Source organism: Homo sapiens, chromosome 22 (genome assembly GCF_000001405.40).
Source record: "Homo sapiens chromosome 22, GRCh38.p14 Primary Assembly".
Taxonomy (NCBI): Eukaryota; Metazoa; Chordata; class Mammalia; order Primates; family Hominidae; genus Homo; species Homo sapiens.
The window spans coordinates 12,150,182-12,167,694 of NC_000022.11; the positions used below are offsets into that span (position 1 = coordinate 12,150,182).

The following is a 17,513-nucleotide window of genomic DNA, read 5'->3' on the forward strand; positions in this document are numbered from 1 at the left end:
AATGAGGGGTACTACATTTCAGAAATCAACACTGAAGAACTTATTCATGGAACCAAACACCACCTGTTTCTCAAACACCTATTAAAATAAAAATACATATAAATAATTTTTTAAAATAAACACTAAAAATAAAGTGAAAATGAAAAAATATATATCCAGGTTAAAAAAAAACTACTTCAGTTAAACAATAAATACTTTTTGAGGGGACTCAACTCTACTACAAAATTATTCGTTGTTTATTATAATCAATAATACAGGTAAAAGAATAAGTTTTTAAAAATGGAAAAATTGTAAAAAATAAAACAATATTAACAAATATTGATATACTGGTGAAGGCCGGGCTCAGTGGCTGCTTTCCAAAGTGGTTACACCAGTCGGGCATGGTGGCACACACCTGTAATCTCAGCACTTCCGGAAGCTGAAGCAGGCAGATCACTTGAGCTCAGGAGTTTGACACAAACCTGGGCTACATGACAACACCCCATTTCTACCAAAAACTGTAAAAATCAGCTGCACATGATAGCATGCACCTGTAAGTCCCAGCTACTTAGGAGGCTGAGGTGAGAGGATCACTTGTGCCTGGAAGGTCACAGCTGCACTGGCCATGTTCATGTCACTGCACTCCAGCCTGGGCAACAGAGCAAGATTTTGTCTCAAAAAAAAAAGTTGGTGACAATTGGAATAATTGGAACTCACATACATTACTGGTGGGAACATAAAATGGTGTAATCAATTTGGGTGTTTTCTTGGCATTTGATTTTTTTAAAAAATCAAGACATTGTTTCCCTATGTTGCCCAGGGTTGTCCTGAACTCCCAAGCTAAGAAAATCCTCCAAACTCAGTGTCTCAAATACCTGAGATTAAAGGTGTGAGCCACTGTGCCTGACCAGTGTAACCACTTTGAAAAACAACGTGGCAGTTTCTCAAAGACTAAATGTATAGTAATCACATAATGTGACAATTTCACTCCTGAGTGTAAATCCAAGAGAAATAAAAATATATGTTCACACTAAAACTTATGTACGAGTGTTCATAGCAGCCTGACTCATGATGGTGAATACGCAAAAACAACACAAATGTCCATCAACTAATGAATGGATAAACATAAACTATTACTCAGCTACAAAAGGAAAGAAATCCTGGTACACACTATAACATGAAAGAAATTTGAAAATATTCTGCTAAGAGAAAAAAAGCAAATTACAAAAGATCACACATTGTACAATTCTATTTCTATAAAAGGTCCAGATTAGGCAAAACTACAATGACAGAAAATAAATCAGTGGTTGCCTATGAATATAGGGTACGTAGGAGGTAGTGGCTAAGAGGTGAGGGTTTCTCACTCATAAGTGGGTAACTTACAAGTGGGTAATCACTTCTAAGAAAGACTGTGGTGATGAATGCACAGCTCCTTGAATATTCTAAAAACCACTCAATTGTATACTTTCTTTTTTTCTTTAGTTATTTAAAGACAGGGTCTCCTTTTGTCACCCATGCTGTAGTGCAGTGGTGCCATCTGGTCTCACTGCAACCTATGGCTTCTGGGCTCAAGTGATCTTCCAGTCTCATGTCCCCAAGTAGTTGGGACTACAGGCATGAGCCACCACACCCAGCTAATTTTTGTATTTTTGCTAGAGATGCTGTTTTGCCATGTTGCCCAGGCTAGTCGCAAACTCCTGAACACAAGCGATCCACCTGCCTCAGCTGCCCAAAGTCTTAGCGTTATAGGAATTAGCCACTGCACCTGGCCTGAATTGCGTACTTTGATAAATGAATTGCATGATACGTTAATCATATTTCAATAACGTTATTATTTTAAAAATGGCTGGGCATGGCGTGGTGACTCACGCCTCTGATCTCAGCACACTGGGAGGCCAAGGTGGGTGGATTGCCTGATTTCAGGAGTTTGAGACCAGTCTGGCCAACATACTGAAACTCTGTCTCTACTAAAAATACAAAAATATTAGCTGAGAGTGGTGACATGGGTCTGTAATTCCAGCTAGTTGCGAGGCTGAGGCAGGGGAGTTGCTTGAACCAGGGAGGTGGAGGTTGCAGTCAGCTGAGATCACACCACTGCATTCCAGCCTGCATGACAGAGTGAGAGTCCGTCTCCAAAAGAAAGAAAGAAAAAGAAAATGGGCATTGAACACAGGTGGCTCCCACCTACATATAATCCAAACACTTTGGGAAGCTGAGGCAGAATGATCACTTGAGGCCAGGAGTCTGACAACATCCTGAGCAACACAGCAAGATCCCATCTGTACAATAAAAAATAAAGAAGTTAGCTGGGCATAGGGGCAAATGTATGTAGTCCCAGCTACTTGGGAGGCTGAGGTGGGAGGACTGTTTGAGTCCGGGGTTTCAGGCTGCAGTGAACCATGATCATGCCACCGCACTGCAGCCTGGGTGACAGAACAAAACCCTGTCTCTAGAAAGAAAAAAAAAAGAAATCCAAGTTTTTATCACCTTCTGAGAGTAATCAACATTCAGGAGGAACAGAGAAGAACAAAATACCACTGAATGGTTGAGGGTGGGTTGCTGGTTAGGTTCAGTGGCCAGCTGAGTAGTATCTGAAAAATTCATTAGTAAATTATGGCACTAGGGGTGAGTCATGCAGTCGAAGGATGAATACTAAATCCAGTACAAACACCCATGGTCTTTCTTTACATGAATTCCAGTGAAAAATTTCTAAGTGCCTAAAATAGCAAGTGGTCTGAAATGATGGCAGCAGTTTATTAAAGACTGAAAAAAGAGGCCAGGCACGGTGGCTCACACCTGTAATCCCAGCACTTTAGGAGACCAAGGCCAGTGGATCACAAGGTCAGGAGTTCAAGACCAGCCTGTCCAACATGCTGAAACCCCGTATCTACAGAAAATACAAAGCTTAGCCGGGCATAGTGACATGTGCCTGTATTCCCAGCTACTTCAGAGGCTGAGGCAAAAGAAATGCTTGAACCCGGGAGGCAGAAGTTGCTGTGAATTGAGATTGTGCCACTGCACTCGAGCCTGGTGACAGAGGAAGATGCTGTCTCAAAAAAAAAAAAAAAAAAAAAGAATTGGCATCTTCAAGAACCACAAGAGAGTTCCACGCTGAAGAAGCTCTGACTCTGCATTTGCTGAAATACTGATTTGAGTTAGCCAATATAACACTATCTTAGACAAAGTGTACAAACAACTCAATTTCATCTCCTCATTAATAACTGATTGGTCTAGTATCAATTCTGATTTTTAAAAAACTAATTAGAAAAAGAATTAATTATAGAACCAATAAGAGGTTTGAATAGTTACAAGCTATTCAAAGGAGAATTCAAAAAACCACTCAGGTATGAGGCCATAAAGTATGATGAAATAAATTTCCTTAATATATTTTAAAATAAACTGATTAGACAGGCAACAACACCTGGGCACGGGTCTCCTCATCTCCAGCAACACAAACCCAATCACGCAGCTATGGGGTTGCAAAGGCTGCATAGTGACAAACAGACTGCTCTGAGCTGAGATTTCTTTACTTGTATCTGTATTCTGAGACCGGGTCTCACTCTGTCACTCTGGCTGCAATGCAGGGGTGCACTCATAGCTAACTGCAGCCGTGACCTCCTGGGCTCTGGAGATCCTCCTGCCTCACCCTCACCATAGCTACAGCTACAGATGAACACCAAAACACCCAGCTAATTTTTTTTTTTTTGTAGAAAGAGGAGCCTTGTTATGTTGACCAAGCTGGCCTCAAACTCCCGCCCTCAAGAGATCTGCCCACCTCAACAACCTAAGTAACAGGTTCTACAGGAAAATACCACTATGCCGGGATAATTATATTTTAATAATTTTTATTTGCATAGACAGGAGGTCTTGCTGTGTTGCCCAGGGTGGTCTCAAACTCCTGGACTCAAACCATTCTCCCATCTCTGCCTCCCAAAGTGCTGAAGCTACAGGCATAAGCCACTGCACCTGGCCCGACTTAAGATTTCTGTAATCTAGCATCCCATACTTCATATAATTGGGAAAAGCAGTAGTGGTTTTTTTTTTAATTACTTAGTATTTCAACAAGAATCAACCATCTCTCACCATTGCCAGGGCCCTGGTCAGAACCACTATCATCTCCCACCTGGAGGTTGCCACAGCATGGCCTCCCTGCTTCTACGCAAATCTTCCCACAATCTTTCTCAACTCAGCTGCCATGGGATGCTTTTAAATCAGTAGACAGTTCGTGTCACCTCTCTGCTCAGAACCCTTCTGCTTCTCCCATCTCAGACAGAATAAAAACCAAAGCCCCAGCAATAGCCTCCCAGGGCTTACACAATCTGTACTGATCTGAGTCCAACAACTCCCTGGCCTCCTTCCCTACTTCTCTCCCTCTCTCTACTCCACAGACCTCTTTCCTGAGCTTCAGACACACCACGGAGTTCCCTCTTAGCATCTTTATTCTGTTGTTTCTGCCTACAATGCTCTTCCCTCAGTACCTTGGCCAGCTCCTTCCCCTCCTTCAAGTCTTTGCTCAATTTTCACTTAGGAGGCCAACCCTGACCACTCTATTTAATATTGCTATCTGTCCCTATTCCTGCCATGCTCACTCATTTCTTTTTTCTTTTTTTTTCTAAGATATAATCTCGCTGTGTCACTCAGACTGGGGTGCCATGGCACGATCACAACGCACTGAGACCTGGAGCACCTAGGTCAAGAAATTGTCCTGCCTCAGGGCCTCTAGTAGCTAAGACTACAAGTGCATGCCACCACACCCGCTATTTTTTTTTTCCATGTCGACAGGGTATTATTTTGTTGCCCAGACTTACCGTGAACTCCTGGGCCAAAGCAACCATCCTGCCTCAGCCTCCTAAATAGCTGGAATTATAGGTGTGGGCCACCAATTCTGGCTTCATGTTCATTTCTTCTTGCCGCTGTTACAAACTACCCTACATTGAGTGGCTTAATACACCACAAATCTACTAACTAAGAAGTCTGGGGGCCAGAAGTCCAAAATAGGTCTATTAAGGCTAAAGTCAAGGTGCCAGCAGGACTGCATCCCTTCTGGAGGTTCTGGAGAGAATATGTTCCCTTGCCTTTCCCAGTTGCTAAAGCCACTCCTATTCTTTGGCTCATGGCCCCTAACTGCATCTTCAAAGCCAGAAGCAAAGCATATTCGAATCTCCCTCTGTGACCTGTGCTTCCATCATCAAATCTCCTTCAATTCGGACTCTCTTACCTCCCTCTTTCACTTATAAAGACCTCTTGTGATTGCTGGACACAGAGGCCGTGGCTCACAACCATAATCCCAACAGTTTAGGAGGTCAAAGCAGGAGAAACGTTTGAGGCCAAAACTTCAGGACCAGCCTGGGAAACACAGCGAGACCCCCTCAATTAAACAACAAAAAGAAATAAGAAAAAATTAGCTGGGCATGGTAGTATGCATCTGTAGTTTCAGCTACTTGAGAGGTTGTGGTGAATGGATCGCTTTAGCCCCAGAGTTCAAGACTAGCCTCGGCAATATAACAAGATCCCACCTCTACAAAAAAAATACAAAAATTAGCTGGGCATGGATGGTGTGCACCTGTAGTCCCAGATGCTTGGAAGGCTGAGGTGGGAGAATTGCTTGAGCACAGGTGGTTGAGGCTGCAGTTAGCTACAACAACATCACTGCACTCCAGATTGGGTGAAACAGAGACTCTGTGTTCAAAAGAAAAAGAAAAGAAATACACATTTGGTTTCTGCCCCTCATCCTGGCACAGAGCTTCTCAAGCTCTTATAAAGGCCTTGGTGATGAAGGTGATGGGGCATCTTCTGTTTCAATATTTGGTCTTAGTCCCAGGTTTCTAACACAAGAGCCTCTAAGACCTTTGGGATCACCATAGTAAGAATGCATTTGGTGATGTTACTGAGATGACTGGGTGACTGAAAACTCCTAGACAGCTTCAGAAAAAGGGGTGGTTGTTGTCAGAAGAACAAACCATGTGATTAGAGGCTTGGAACTGTCAGCCTCACCCCCTGGGCTCCAGGAAGAAATAGTGGCCGAAGACTGACTTAATCACCAATGGTCAATGACTTCATCAATCTTGCCTGCATAATGAAGCGTTCATAAGCGCCCTCAACAACTGGAGTTGGAGAATGTCTGGGTTGCTGAACACAAGGGAGATACCAGGAAGGTAACATGCACAATAGAGGACATGGAAGTTCTGTACCCCTTTCGACATACCTTGCCCTGTGGGTTTTTTTTTTTTTTGAGACAGAGTCTGGCTCTGTCTCCCAGCCTAGAGTGCCATGGCACAATCGTGGCTCACTGCGAACTATGCCTCCCTATCTCAAGCCCCATCCTCTCATCCTCTCACCTCAGCCTCCTGAGTAGCTAGAATTATAGGCACTGAGTAGCTAGAACTATAGATAACTGTGCCTGGCTAATTTTTAGAAAAATCTTTTTGTAGAGATGCATTTTCACCTTGTTACCCAGGCTGGTCTTAATCTCCTGAGCACTTAAGCGATGCTCCCGCCTCAGTCTCCCAAAGTGCTGAAATTACAGGCATGAGCCACTGTGCCCAGCATGTACATCTCTTTCACTGGCTGTTTCTGAGATTTAGCCTTTAAAATGAACCAGTAAAAGAAAGTAAATTGGTGAGATGCAGTGGTTCATGCCCATAATCCCAGCATTTTGTGAAGTTGAGGTGGGAGGATCACGTGAGCCCAGAAATTTGAGACCAGCCTGGGCAACATAACAAGACCCCATCTCTACAAAAAGTAAAAGAACATAGCCAGATATGCTGGTACAGGCCTATAATCTCAGCTATTTGGGAGGCTGAGGTGGGAGGATCACTTGAACCCTGGAGTCCCATGCTACAGTGAGCTTTGATCACACCACTGCATTCCAGCCTGGCAACAGACTTAGACCCTGTATCTCAGGAAAAAAAGAAAACAATCTGTTTTTCTGAGTTCTGCAAGCGGTCCGAGCAAATGATTCCACCCACCAATGGGGGTCATGAAACCCTGTTTTCTAACTGGTTGGTCAAAACTACATGTAACAACCCAAGACTTGCAATTGGCATGTGGAGTGAGGGTAGACTCCTGGGACTGAGCTCCCATCCTGCGGGGTCTGCACTAACTCCAGGGAGTGTCAGGATGGAATTGTGGGATACCCAGTTGGGATCCAGATTGTCTGAAAATCAGTGTAGAAACTCCACATGCACATTTGGTCAGAGGTGTTTGATCGTAACTACTATTCACGAAAAAGGTCTACTCATTAGAACTAAAAATCACAAAATTGTAAGTTCTACGAAAACAAATCAACCTTATCTACCGCCCAGTCCTACCGAACTACAGAATGTGAGAACAGAAGGTCTGACCATGGAGGCGAGAGCTGACAGGAATGTCACCACCATCCTGCTCTCCAAGGACTCCTCATCTTCAACAGACTCCTCATCTTCAATGGGCAGGGTGGAACCTGCAACTTGTGTCATGATCCTTGCACAGGAAAAGTAGTAAGAAAATGAGTGGTAGAAATCCAGTGTCCTAAACTCACATCCAGAGCTGTGAGAGTTTTTTACTGGCTGGATAATTCACAGTTTTCTTGAATCAGGGGAAAAATAAGACTCAGAAACTAGGAATTCGTTTTGCCCAAAACTCTCATCAGATACAGAATCCATCCGCTAACTATCTAGTATTATTTCCATAAGTTAGATCAATTATCACTCCCAAAACAAATGCACATGACACCCAGAATCTGTGCATTTCTCCCAAGTAAAAGAGGAGGTGGACGGGTGCAGTGTCTCATGCCTTTAACCCCAGCACTTTGGGGGGCCAAGGTGGGTGAATCACCTGAAGTCAGGAGTTCAAGACCAGCCTGGCCAACATGGTGATACCCTTTCTCTACTAAAAATAAAAAAAAGTTAGCCAGGTGTGGTGGCATGTGCCTGTAGTCCCAGCCTCCTGGGAGGCTGAGGCAGGAGAATCACTTGAACCCAGGAGGCTGAGGTTGCAGTGAGCAGAGATCGCACCACTGCACCTCAGCCTGGACGACAGAGTGAGATTCTGTCTCAAAAAAAAAGGAGGGGAGGAAAGGAGGCAAGGCACTTTACAACCCAGTGATGGGCTACCACAACTCAGCACAGCAAAGAGTTGCCAAGCTCCCTTTCTCTCCTGCACAACCCGACACAGAAGAGTTGGTGCAGTGGAATGAGGCTGGATGGAGAGAAGTTCCTCTTCTTTCTTTCCTTTTTTTTTTTTTTTGAGATGAACTCTCGCTCTGTCACACAGGCTGGGGTGCAGTGGTGCAATCTCGGTCACTGTAACCTCTGCCTTATGGGTTTAATCAATTCTCTGCCTCAGCCTTCCGAATACCTGGGATTAGAGGCACCCCCCACCACACCCAGCTATTTTTTTTTTTTTTTTTAGTGGAGACTGGGTTTCACTATGTTGGCCAGGCTGGTCTTGAACTCCTGACCTTAGGTGATCTACCCACCTCGGCCTCCAAAAGTGCTAGGATTACAGGCATGAGACGCTGTGCCCAGCCAAGAAGTTCCTCTTCTTACTTAGAAAACAGATCACAGGGCATCAAGTAACACGTAAAATCCTTTATAATAAGCAGTATTATTTTTGGAAAACCTTTCCTAATATTTTGGTATCAGCAAAAAGCCTTAGATTAATTTCAAACACTATAAAAATACAATACATAAACAGAAAATATTAACTGTCAGCAATGCTATAGAGAAATTGGAAGCTGTATGCATTGCTTTTTGGAATGTAAAATGGTACAGCCCACTGTGGAAAATGGTTTAGCAGCTCCTTAAAAATATGAAGCATAGAATTATATGATCCATCAACACCCTTTAAGCGTATATACCCAAAAGAACTGAGAGCAGGGACTCAAACAGGTATTTGTACACCCGATTAACAGCAGCATTATTCACAGTGGCCAAAAGGTCGCCCAAACCTAATGCCCATCAGTAGGTGAATAGATAAAGAAAATGTAATATATACATACACAGAGTATTATTCAGCCATAAAAAGAAAAATATCTGGCCAGATTCAGGGGCTTACACCTGTAATCCCAGTATTTTGGGAGGCCAAGGTGGGCAGGTCTCTTGAGCCCCATATTTTGAGACCAGACTGGACAACATGGCACATTTGGTTAGAAGTGTTTGACCATAACTACTATTCCAGAAAAAGATCTACTCATTAGAACTACAAATCATAAAATTATAAGTTCTACAAAAACAAATCAACCTTATCTACCACCCAGTTCTACCCAATTATATCATGTTAGAACAGAAGGTCTCACCGTGGACTCGAGAGCTGATATGAGAAATGTTACCACCATCCTGCTCTCCACGGAATCATCTTCAACAGACTCCTCATCTTCAATGGACTACTCATCTTCCATGGACTCCTCATCTTCCATTGGCAGGGTGGAAACTGCAACTTGTGCCATGATCCCTGTGCAAAAAAGTAGTAAGAAATTGAATGGTAGAAATGCAGTGTCCTAAACTCACATCCAGAGCTGTGAGAGTTTCTCACCGGCTGCCAAATTGTTTTTTGGGTCAGAGAAAAAAATAAAACTTGGTAACCTGGTACTCGACTTGCCCCAAACTCTCATCAGATAGAGAATCTATCCGCTAACTTTCTATCTAGTATTATTTCCATGAAGTTACATCAATATCACTCCCAAAATAAATCCAGGTGGAAGACTAAATCCAAAGCTAGCAGAAGGAAAGAAATAATAAAGAGCATAATTAGAGCATAAATCAATAAAATAGAAGGTTGGAGAGCAGTAGAATGAAAAAATGTAGATTCTTTGAAAGATCAAGCCTTTCACTATATTGACTGAGCAAAAGATGGGAGACTAATTATTAAAATAATAAATGAAAGCAGAGCCATTACTACCAACTTTACAGAAATAAAAAAGGATTACAGGAGTATACTGTGAACAACTGTCTAGCAACAAATTAGGTGCCCTGGATGAAATGGATGAATCGCTAGAAAGACACAAACTACCAAAGTGGCTCAAGAAGAAAGAGAAAATCTGAATAGACCTATAACCTAGGAGATTGAATTAGTAATCGAAAGCGATTAACAAAGAAACATGTATGACCAAATAGCTGCATTAACTGGTGAGTCAACCTAACATTTAAAGAAGAATTAATACCATTTCTTCTCAAACTCTTCTGACAAAATATATGAAGAAGGAATACTTGCTAATTCATTTTTTGATAACAGCATTATCCTTATACCAAAGACAAAGAGAGCACAAAAGAGAGAAATACAGCACTATATCCCCTATGAATATATAAGCAAAAATCTCAGCAAAATACTAGCAATACTAGCAAAATACTAGCAGCACTACTGTATAATCAAAGGATTGTAAACTATCAACCTTTGAGATTTATCCCCAAAATGCAAGGGTGGTTCAACATATAAAAAATCAATCAGTGTAATATGCTGTAACAGTAAAATGAATAAGCACGTGATTATTTCAATTGATGCAGAGAAAACATTGATGAAATACAACACCCTTCTATAATAAAAATACTCAATAAACTAGGCATAGAAGGGATCTTCTGCAACATGACAATGGGATGTACAAAAACCCAACAGTTAATATCATGATCAATGATGAAACACTGAAAGCTGTTTTCCTAACATCTAGAAGAAAAGGATGGTGCATTTGCCACTTGTATTCAACGTAGCACTGGCAGTTCTAGCCAGAGCAATTAGGCAAGACAAAGAAATAAAAGGCATCTAAATTAGAAATAAAAAATAGGTGTAAAATTATATCTACACATGATCTTATGGGTATAAAGCTCCAAACAAAACACAAAACCGATTATAACTAATAAAAGAGGCAGGATGCAAACAAACATAGGCAAATGAGCTATATTTCTATATAGTTGTAAAGAACTATGAAAACATTTTAAAAATTCCATTTATAATGACATCAAAGAATACGTTATTCAGGCATAAATCTAACCATGGTGGTGTACACAAAACATTGCTGCAAAAAACTAAAGAGAGTGGAAATAAGTGGAAAGACATTCTGTGTTCACGGGTTGTAAGACAATATTGTTAAGATGACAATACCATCTAAAGTAATCTACAGATTCAATGCAATACCATCAAAATCCCAAAGGCATTTTTGCAGAAACAAAGAAACTCATTCTAAAATCATACAAAAATTCAAAGGATCTGACAGACAAAACAGTCTTGAAAAAGAACATTGGAAAACTCACATTTTTCAGTTTCACAGCCTACTACAAATCTACAGTAATCAAGAGAGTGTGGTACTGGAATAAGGCCAATAGGCTTTCAGACCAATACAACAGAACAGATTTGAGATACTACAAGTTAGTCCTCACATATATGGTCAATGACTGTTCAACAAGGTGGCCAAGTCTAGTCAAGGGAGGAAAGAACAGTCTCTTCAACAGCTGGATGTCAGTGCACAAGAGAGAAGTTAGACCCCTACCTTGCAGTATATACAAAAATTAATTCTAAATTAATAAAAGACTTAAATGTAAGGACTAAAAATATGTAACTCTTAGAAGAAAACACACGGTAAACCTTTATGACCTTTGAGTTTTAAGTGTATTTTGAAATGTGACAGAAAAGCACAGATAACAAAAGAAAATACAGGAAAATTAGATTGAATCAAAATAAAAAACCCTTTATGCATCAAAGGATACTATCAAGGGAGTGAAAAGACAACCCATAATATGTGAGAAAATATGTATCTGATAAAATCAAAATGTGTATCTGATAAAAGCTTAATATCCCACAACTCAACAACAGAATTTCTAAGATCCCAATTAAAAAATAGTCAAAGGACTTGAACAGACATTTCTCCAAAGAAGATACACAAATGTCTAAGAAGGAAAAGAAAAGATGCTAAACACCATTATTCATTAATAAAATGCAAGGTAAAACCCAAATGAGATGCCACTTTGCATCCACTAGTAAGGCTTTCATAACAACGACACAGAAAATCAATGTTGCTAAGGAGGTGGAGAAACTGGAGCCCTCATGAACTGGCTGCTAGGAATAGAAAATGATGCACTTGCTGTGGAAAAGAGTTTGGTGGTTCCTCAAAGAATCACACAGAGAAACAGGCTCCGCTGGCTTGCGGGTTCTCCTGGGCTGGCGCGGGACGTCCCGGAATGGCAGGCGCACATTCCTTCCCGCCTGAGGGCCCGCCTGGCCGTGACTCCCGCCCCTCTCCTCCTCCGAAGAGAGATCGGGGCCACCCCAGGGGCCGTCTGCAGCCACCGGGGATGGTGCTGAGGGTCGGTTCCTGCCCCGGTGCAGCCGCCCCTGGGCAGACCGCCTGGCTTGGTCGCAGCCACGGCGACATCTAGCCCCGGTTCTGCGAGGCTGGGAGCGCCAGCCAGCTTGGGAGTCGCCCGGCGCCTGTAGCTGGGCGCCCAGGTGGTGGAGCATGCCCTGGGCAGCCTCTGGATCGCGGGTGCCCCTGGCCTGAGAGCCTGCCAGACCCTGTCCCGGCCCGGCTCCTCCTCTGTCAGAACTCCACATCTCTATCCAGGGGCCCTCTGCAGCCACAGGGGATGGGGCTGAGGGCCGGTTCCCGCCCCTGTGCAGCTGCTGCAGGGACAGACCGCCTGGCTTGGCCACAGCCACAGGGACATTTGGCCCTGCTTCCGAGATGTGGGGAGTGTGGGCGGGCTCGGGAGTTGCCTGGAGGCTGCTGCCTGCACGCAGAAGGTGGCTGCAGCTCGGGTGCCCAGGCGGGCTGGAGGTGCATGGCCTGGTCGGCCTTGGGATCACCAGCGCGCCCAGCGTGAGGGCCCCCAGGCCGTGCCTCCCGACCACTCCTCCACCTGAGGGAGATCGGAGCCATTTGTATGGGCACTCGGCAGTCACCTCGTGTGGGGTTGAGCGGTGGCTTCTCAGTTCTCGCTCCTGTGCAGCTGCTGCAGCAGGGCAGAATGCCTGGCTTGGCTGCAGCCACTGGGACACGTGGCCCTGCTTCTATGATGCTAGGAGCGCGAGCGGGCTCGGGGGTTGCCAGGCAGCTGCTGCCTGCACACAGAGGGCGACGGCAGCTTGGGCGCCCAGATGGCACAGCATGGTTTGGGTGGCCTCTGGAATGCGTGCGCGCCAGGCCTGAGGGTCACCCTGGTGGGGCCACATACCCCGGTCTTCCTCTGCTGGAGCCTGGAGCAGCTGGAATGGCCACTATTCCGTCACAGGGGATAGAGTTAAGTTTTCTTATCCCACCCATGCACACAAAAAGGTGACTATTCTGTGAGGTAATAAACGTGTTAATTGACTTCATTCATGCCACTCTGCATCCACAAGTAAGGCTTTCATAACAATGACACAGAAAATAAATGTTGCTAAGGAGGTGGAGAAGTTGGAGCCCTCATGATCTGGCTGCTAGGAATAGAAAATGATGCCCTTGCTGCGGAAAACAATTTGTTGTTCCTCACAGAATGAGCATTGGGTGAAAAATGAAATCAAGATGGAAATGTAAAAAATTTCTTCGAACTGGATGACATAACCTATCAAGACCTCTGGGATACAGCAAAGGCACTGCTAAGAGCAAAGTTTGTAGTCCTAAAAACCTACATCAAAAAGTCTGAAAGAGCACAAACAGACAATCTAAGTTCACATCTCAGGGAACTAGAGAAGCAGGAACAAGCCAAACCCAATCCCAGCAAACACAGGAAATAACAAAGATCAGAGCACAACTAAATGAAATTGACACAACAACAACAACAACAAATACAAAACATAAATAAAACAAAAAGTTGGTTATTTGAAAAGATAAATAAAATTGATAGACCATTAGCAAAATTAACCCAGAAAAGAAGAGAGAAAATCCAAATAACCTCACTAAGAAATGAAACAGGGGATCTTACAACTGACACCACTGAAATATTAAAGATTATTCAAGGGTACTATGAACACCTTTTGGCACATAAACTACAAAACCTAGAAGAGTTGGATAAATTCCTGGAAAAATACAACTCTCCTAGCTTAAATCAGGAAGAATTAGATACCCCAAGCAGACCAATAAAGCAAGCAGCAAGATTGAAATGGTAATTTTAAAATTACCAGCAAAAAAAGCCGAGGGCCAGACAGATTCACAGCAGAATTCTACCAGACATTCAAAGAATGTCTTCTTTCATTCAAGGAAGAAATGATACCAATCTTTTCATACTATTCCACAAGACAGAGAAAGAAGAAACCCTCCCTTATTCATTCTATGAAGCCAGAGTCACCCTAATACCAAAACCATGGAAGGACATAACCAAAAAAGAAAACTACAGACCAATATCCTTGATGAACGCAGATGCCAAAATCCTTAACAAAATACTATCTAACTGAATCCGACAACATATCAAAAAATAATCCACCATGATCAAGTGGGTTTTATACCAATGATATAGGAGTGGTTTCACATATGCAAGTCAATAAGTGTGATACACCAAATAAACAGAATTAAAAAAAATTAATATGATTATATCAACAGGTGCAGAAAAAACATTTGACAAAATCTAGCATTGCTTTATGACTAAAGCTCTCAGCAAAATAGGCATACAAGGGACATACCTTAATGTAATAAAAGCCATCTATGACAAACCCACAGCCAACATAATACTGAATGGGGAAACGGTGAAAGCATTCCCTTTGAGAACTGGAACAAGACGAGGAGCCTACTCTCACCACTCCTCTTCAACATAGTACTGGAAGTCCTAGCCAGAGCAATCAGACAAAAGAAGGAAATAGAGGAAATCCAAATCGGTAAACAGGAAGTCAAACTGTCACTTGTTGCTGATGATATAATCTTTTGCCTAGAAAACGCTACGGACTCCTCTAGAAACCTCCTAGAACTGATAAAAGAATTCAGCAAAGTTTCCAGATACAAGATTAATGGACACAAATCAGTAGCTCTTCCATACATCAACAGCTACCAAGCAGAGAATCACATCAAGAACTCAACCCCTTTTACAATAGCTGCGACAAACAACAACAAAAAAACAAAACTTAGGAATATACCTAGCAAAGAAATAAAAGGACAGCTACAATGAAAATTACAAAACACTACTGAAAGAAATCATAGCTGGAGTCAAGCACGGTGGCACATGCCTATAATCCGAGCTACTCGGGAAGCTGAGGCAGGAGAATCGCTTGAACCCGGGAGGCAGAAGTTGTAGTGAGCCGAGATCACACCATTGCACTCACACCTCAGCGACAAGAGCTAAACTCCCTCTGAAAAAAAAAAAAAAAAAAAAAAAACGAAAGAAAATAAGTCATAGATGACACAAACAAATGGAAATGCATCCCCATGCTCATGGATGGGTAGAACCAATATTGTGAAAATTACCATTCTGTTAAAGGCAATCTACAAATTCAATGCAATCCCCGTCTGAAAGCCACCATCATTCTTCACAAAATTACAAAAACAATTCTAAAATTAATATGGAACCAAAAAAGAGCCATGTAACCAAACCAAGCCTAAGCAAAAAGAACCTGGAGGTATCACACTACTTGATTTCAAACTGTACAATAAGGCCATAGCTACCAAAACACCAACGTACTGGTTTAAAAATAGGAACATAGACCAATGGAACAGAAGAGAGAACTCAGAAATTAACCCAAATACTTACAGCCAACTGATCTTCGACAAAGTAAACAAAAACATAAAGTGGAGAAAGACTCCCTTTTCAACACATGATGTTGGGATAATTGGCGAGCCACATGCAGGGGAATAAAACTGGACTCTCATCTCTCATTTTATACAAAAATATACTCAAGATGGATTAAGAACTTAAACCTAATTCCTGAACTATAAAAATTCTAGAAGATAACACTGGATAAACCCTTCTAGACATTGACATACGCAAGGATTTCATGACCAAGAACCCAAATGCAAATGCAATAAAAACAAAGATAAATAGCTGAGACTTAATTAAACTAAACAGCTTTTGCATGGCAAAGGGAACAGTCAGCAGAGTAAATGGACAACTCAAAGAGTGGGACCCCTGAACCTGACCCTGACCCCTGACCCTGATCCCTAACCCCTGACCCTGACCCCTAACCCCTGACCCTAACCCTAACCCCTAACCCTAACCCTTAACCATAAACCCTAAGCCTAACCCCTAACCACAACCCTCACCCTCACACTAATCCAACCCTAACCCCTTATCCCTAACCCCTAACCTCTCCTAACCTCTAACTCTAAACGTTGACTCTTAACTCTTAACTCTGACTCCAACCCCTATCTCCAACCCCAACCCTAAACTTAACCCCTAACCCCTAACCCTAACACCAACCTTAACCCTAGGTTCGTTACTACGTTTGTACTATGCCAATGTTGATTATTATGATCTCTGTCTTAGGACTGCATGGCAGCAAGGGGATTGCGGATCTTATATTAATATTTTTGTATTGAGGCAGTGCATTAGCATTACAGGTGCTTGTTACATGAGCAATGGGGGTGTCATATTTTGGGTGTCATGTCTGCATTAGGAATGCTGCATTTGTCTTCCGAGGCTGCGGTGTGGATCTCGCACTGCGGCCGCCTCGGCTTGGCTGGGGAGAACCTCGGTGGGCAGGATTCAGAGGGGCTTTTGGTTTCCCTTTTCCACACTGAGCCCTTCTAACTGGTCTCTGACCCTGATTATTCAGGGCTGCAAAAGGGAAGGATTTTATTCACCGTCTATGCGGTCCCGAGTTGTCCCAAAGCGAGGCAGTGCCCCAAAGGTCTGTGCTGAGGAGAAGGCTGCTCTGCCTTAGCGGTGTCCCCCGGGTCTGTGCTGAGCAGAACGCGGCTCCGCCCTCGCGGTGCCCCCGGCCCGCCTGGGTCTGTGCTGAGGAGAACACTGCTCCGCCTTCGCTGTATCTCTGAAGTCTGTGCAGAGGAGAACTCAGCTCCGCCCTGGCGATGCTTTCCTTGTCTGTGCTGGGAAGAACGCAGCTCCGCCCTCGCAAAGGAGCACAGCGCCAGCGCAGGTCCAGAGAGGCCCACAGCGCTGGCGAAAGGCGCAGAGAGGCCCACAGTGCTGGCGCAGGCGCAGAGAGGCCCACAGCGCCGGCGCAGGCGCAGAGAGGCAGAAGGCCCATGAGAGGAAGGTGAGACACCTGGGGCAAAGAAGAAAAAAAAATGCGCCGCGAAGCGGTGTCTGGGTCATCCAGGGACGAAAGTTTTTTCCCATCAGCCCTTGCGCTGGGCCCCAGGGACCCTGGCATCCCTGGTTCACGCCCAGGGTGTGCCTCAGGCGACTAGGGGTACCCCAACTTGGACAGAAGGCCCATGAGTGGAAGTTGAAGTTTGTGGGAGGAGAGGTGAGGCAGCAGGGGCAGAAAAAAAAAAAAAGAGGACCGCGTATCAGAGAAGCGGGACCTGGGTTCCCCACGGATGAAAGTGCCTTCCCATTAGGCCCTATGCTGGGCCTGGTGGACCCTGGCGACCCTGGTTCAAGCCCAGGGTGCGCCTCAGGACAGCTTGGGGTACCACAAAGCGAACAAAAGGTCCATGAGGGGAAGGTGAGGCACCTGAGGCAGAGAAAAAAAAACGCTCA

At 43.7% G+C, this 17,513-nt stretch overlaps 1 long non-coding RNA gene and 1 pseudogene across 1 annotated transcript in view; both read right to left on the reverse strand.

The window, feature by feature from the left end:
- LOC105379516 (uncharacterized) overlaps positions 1-16,993 on the reverse strand; it is a 35,671-nt gene extending 18,678 nt beyond the window's left edge. The window contains exons 1-2 of the long non-coding RNA XR_951179.3: positions 16,649-16,993; positions 9,257-9,411 (exon numbers count right to left, since the gene is read on the reverse strand). This is a non-coding gene — a long non-coding RNA (uncharacterized LOC105379516). The remainder of the gene's footprint in view (positions 1-9,256; positions 9,412-16,648) is intronic.
- On the reverse strand, positions 11,900-13,330 carry LOC107987322 (translation initiation factor IF-2-like; annotated as a pseudogene).
- Positions 16,994-17,513: the final 520 nt, after the last annotated feature.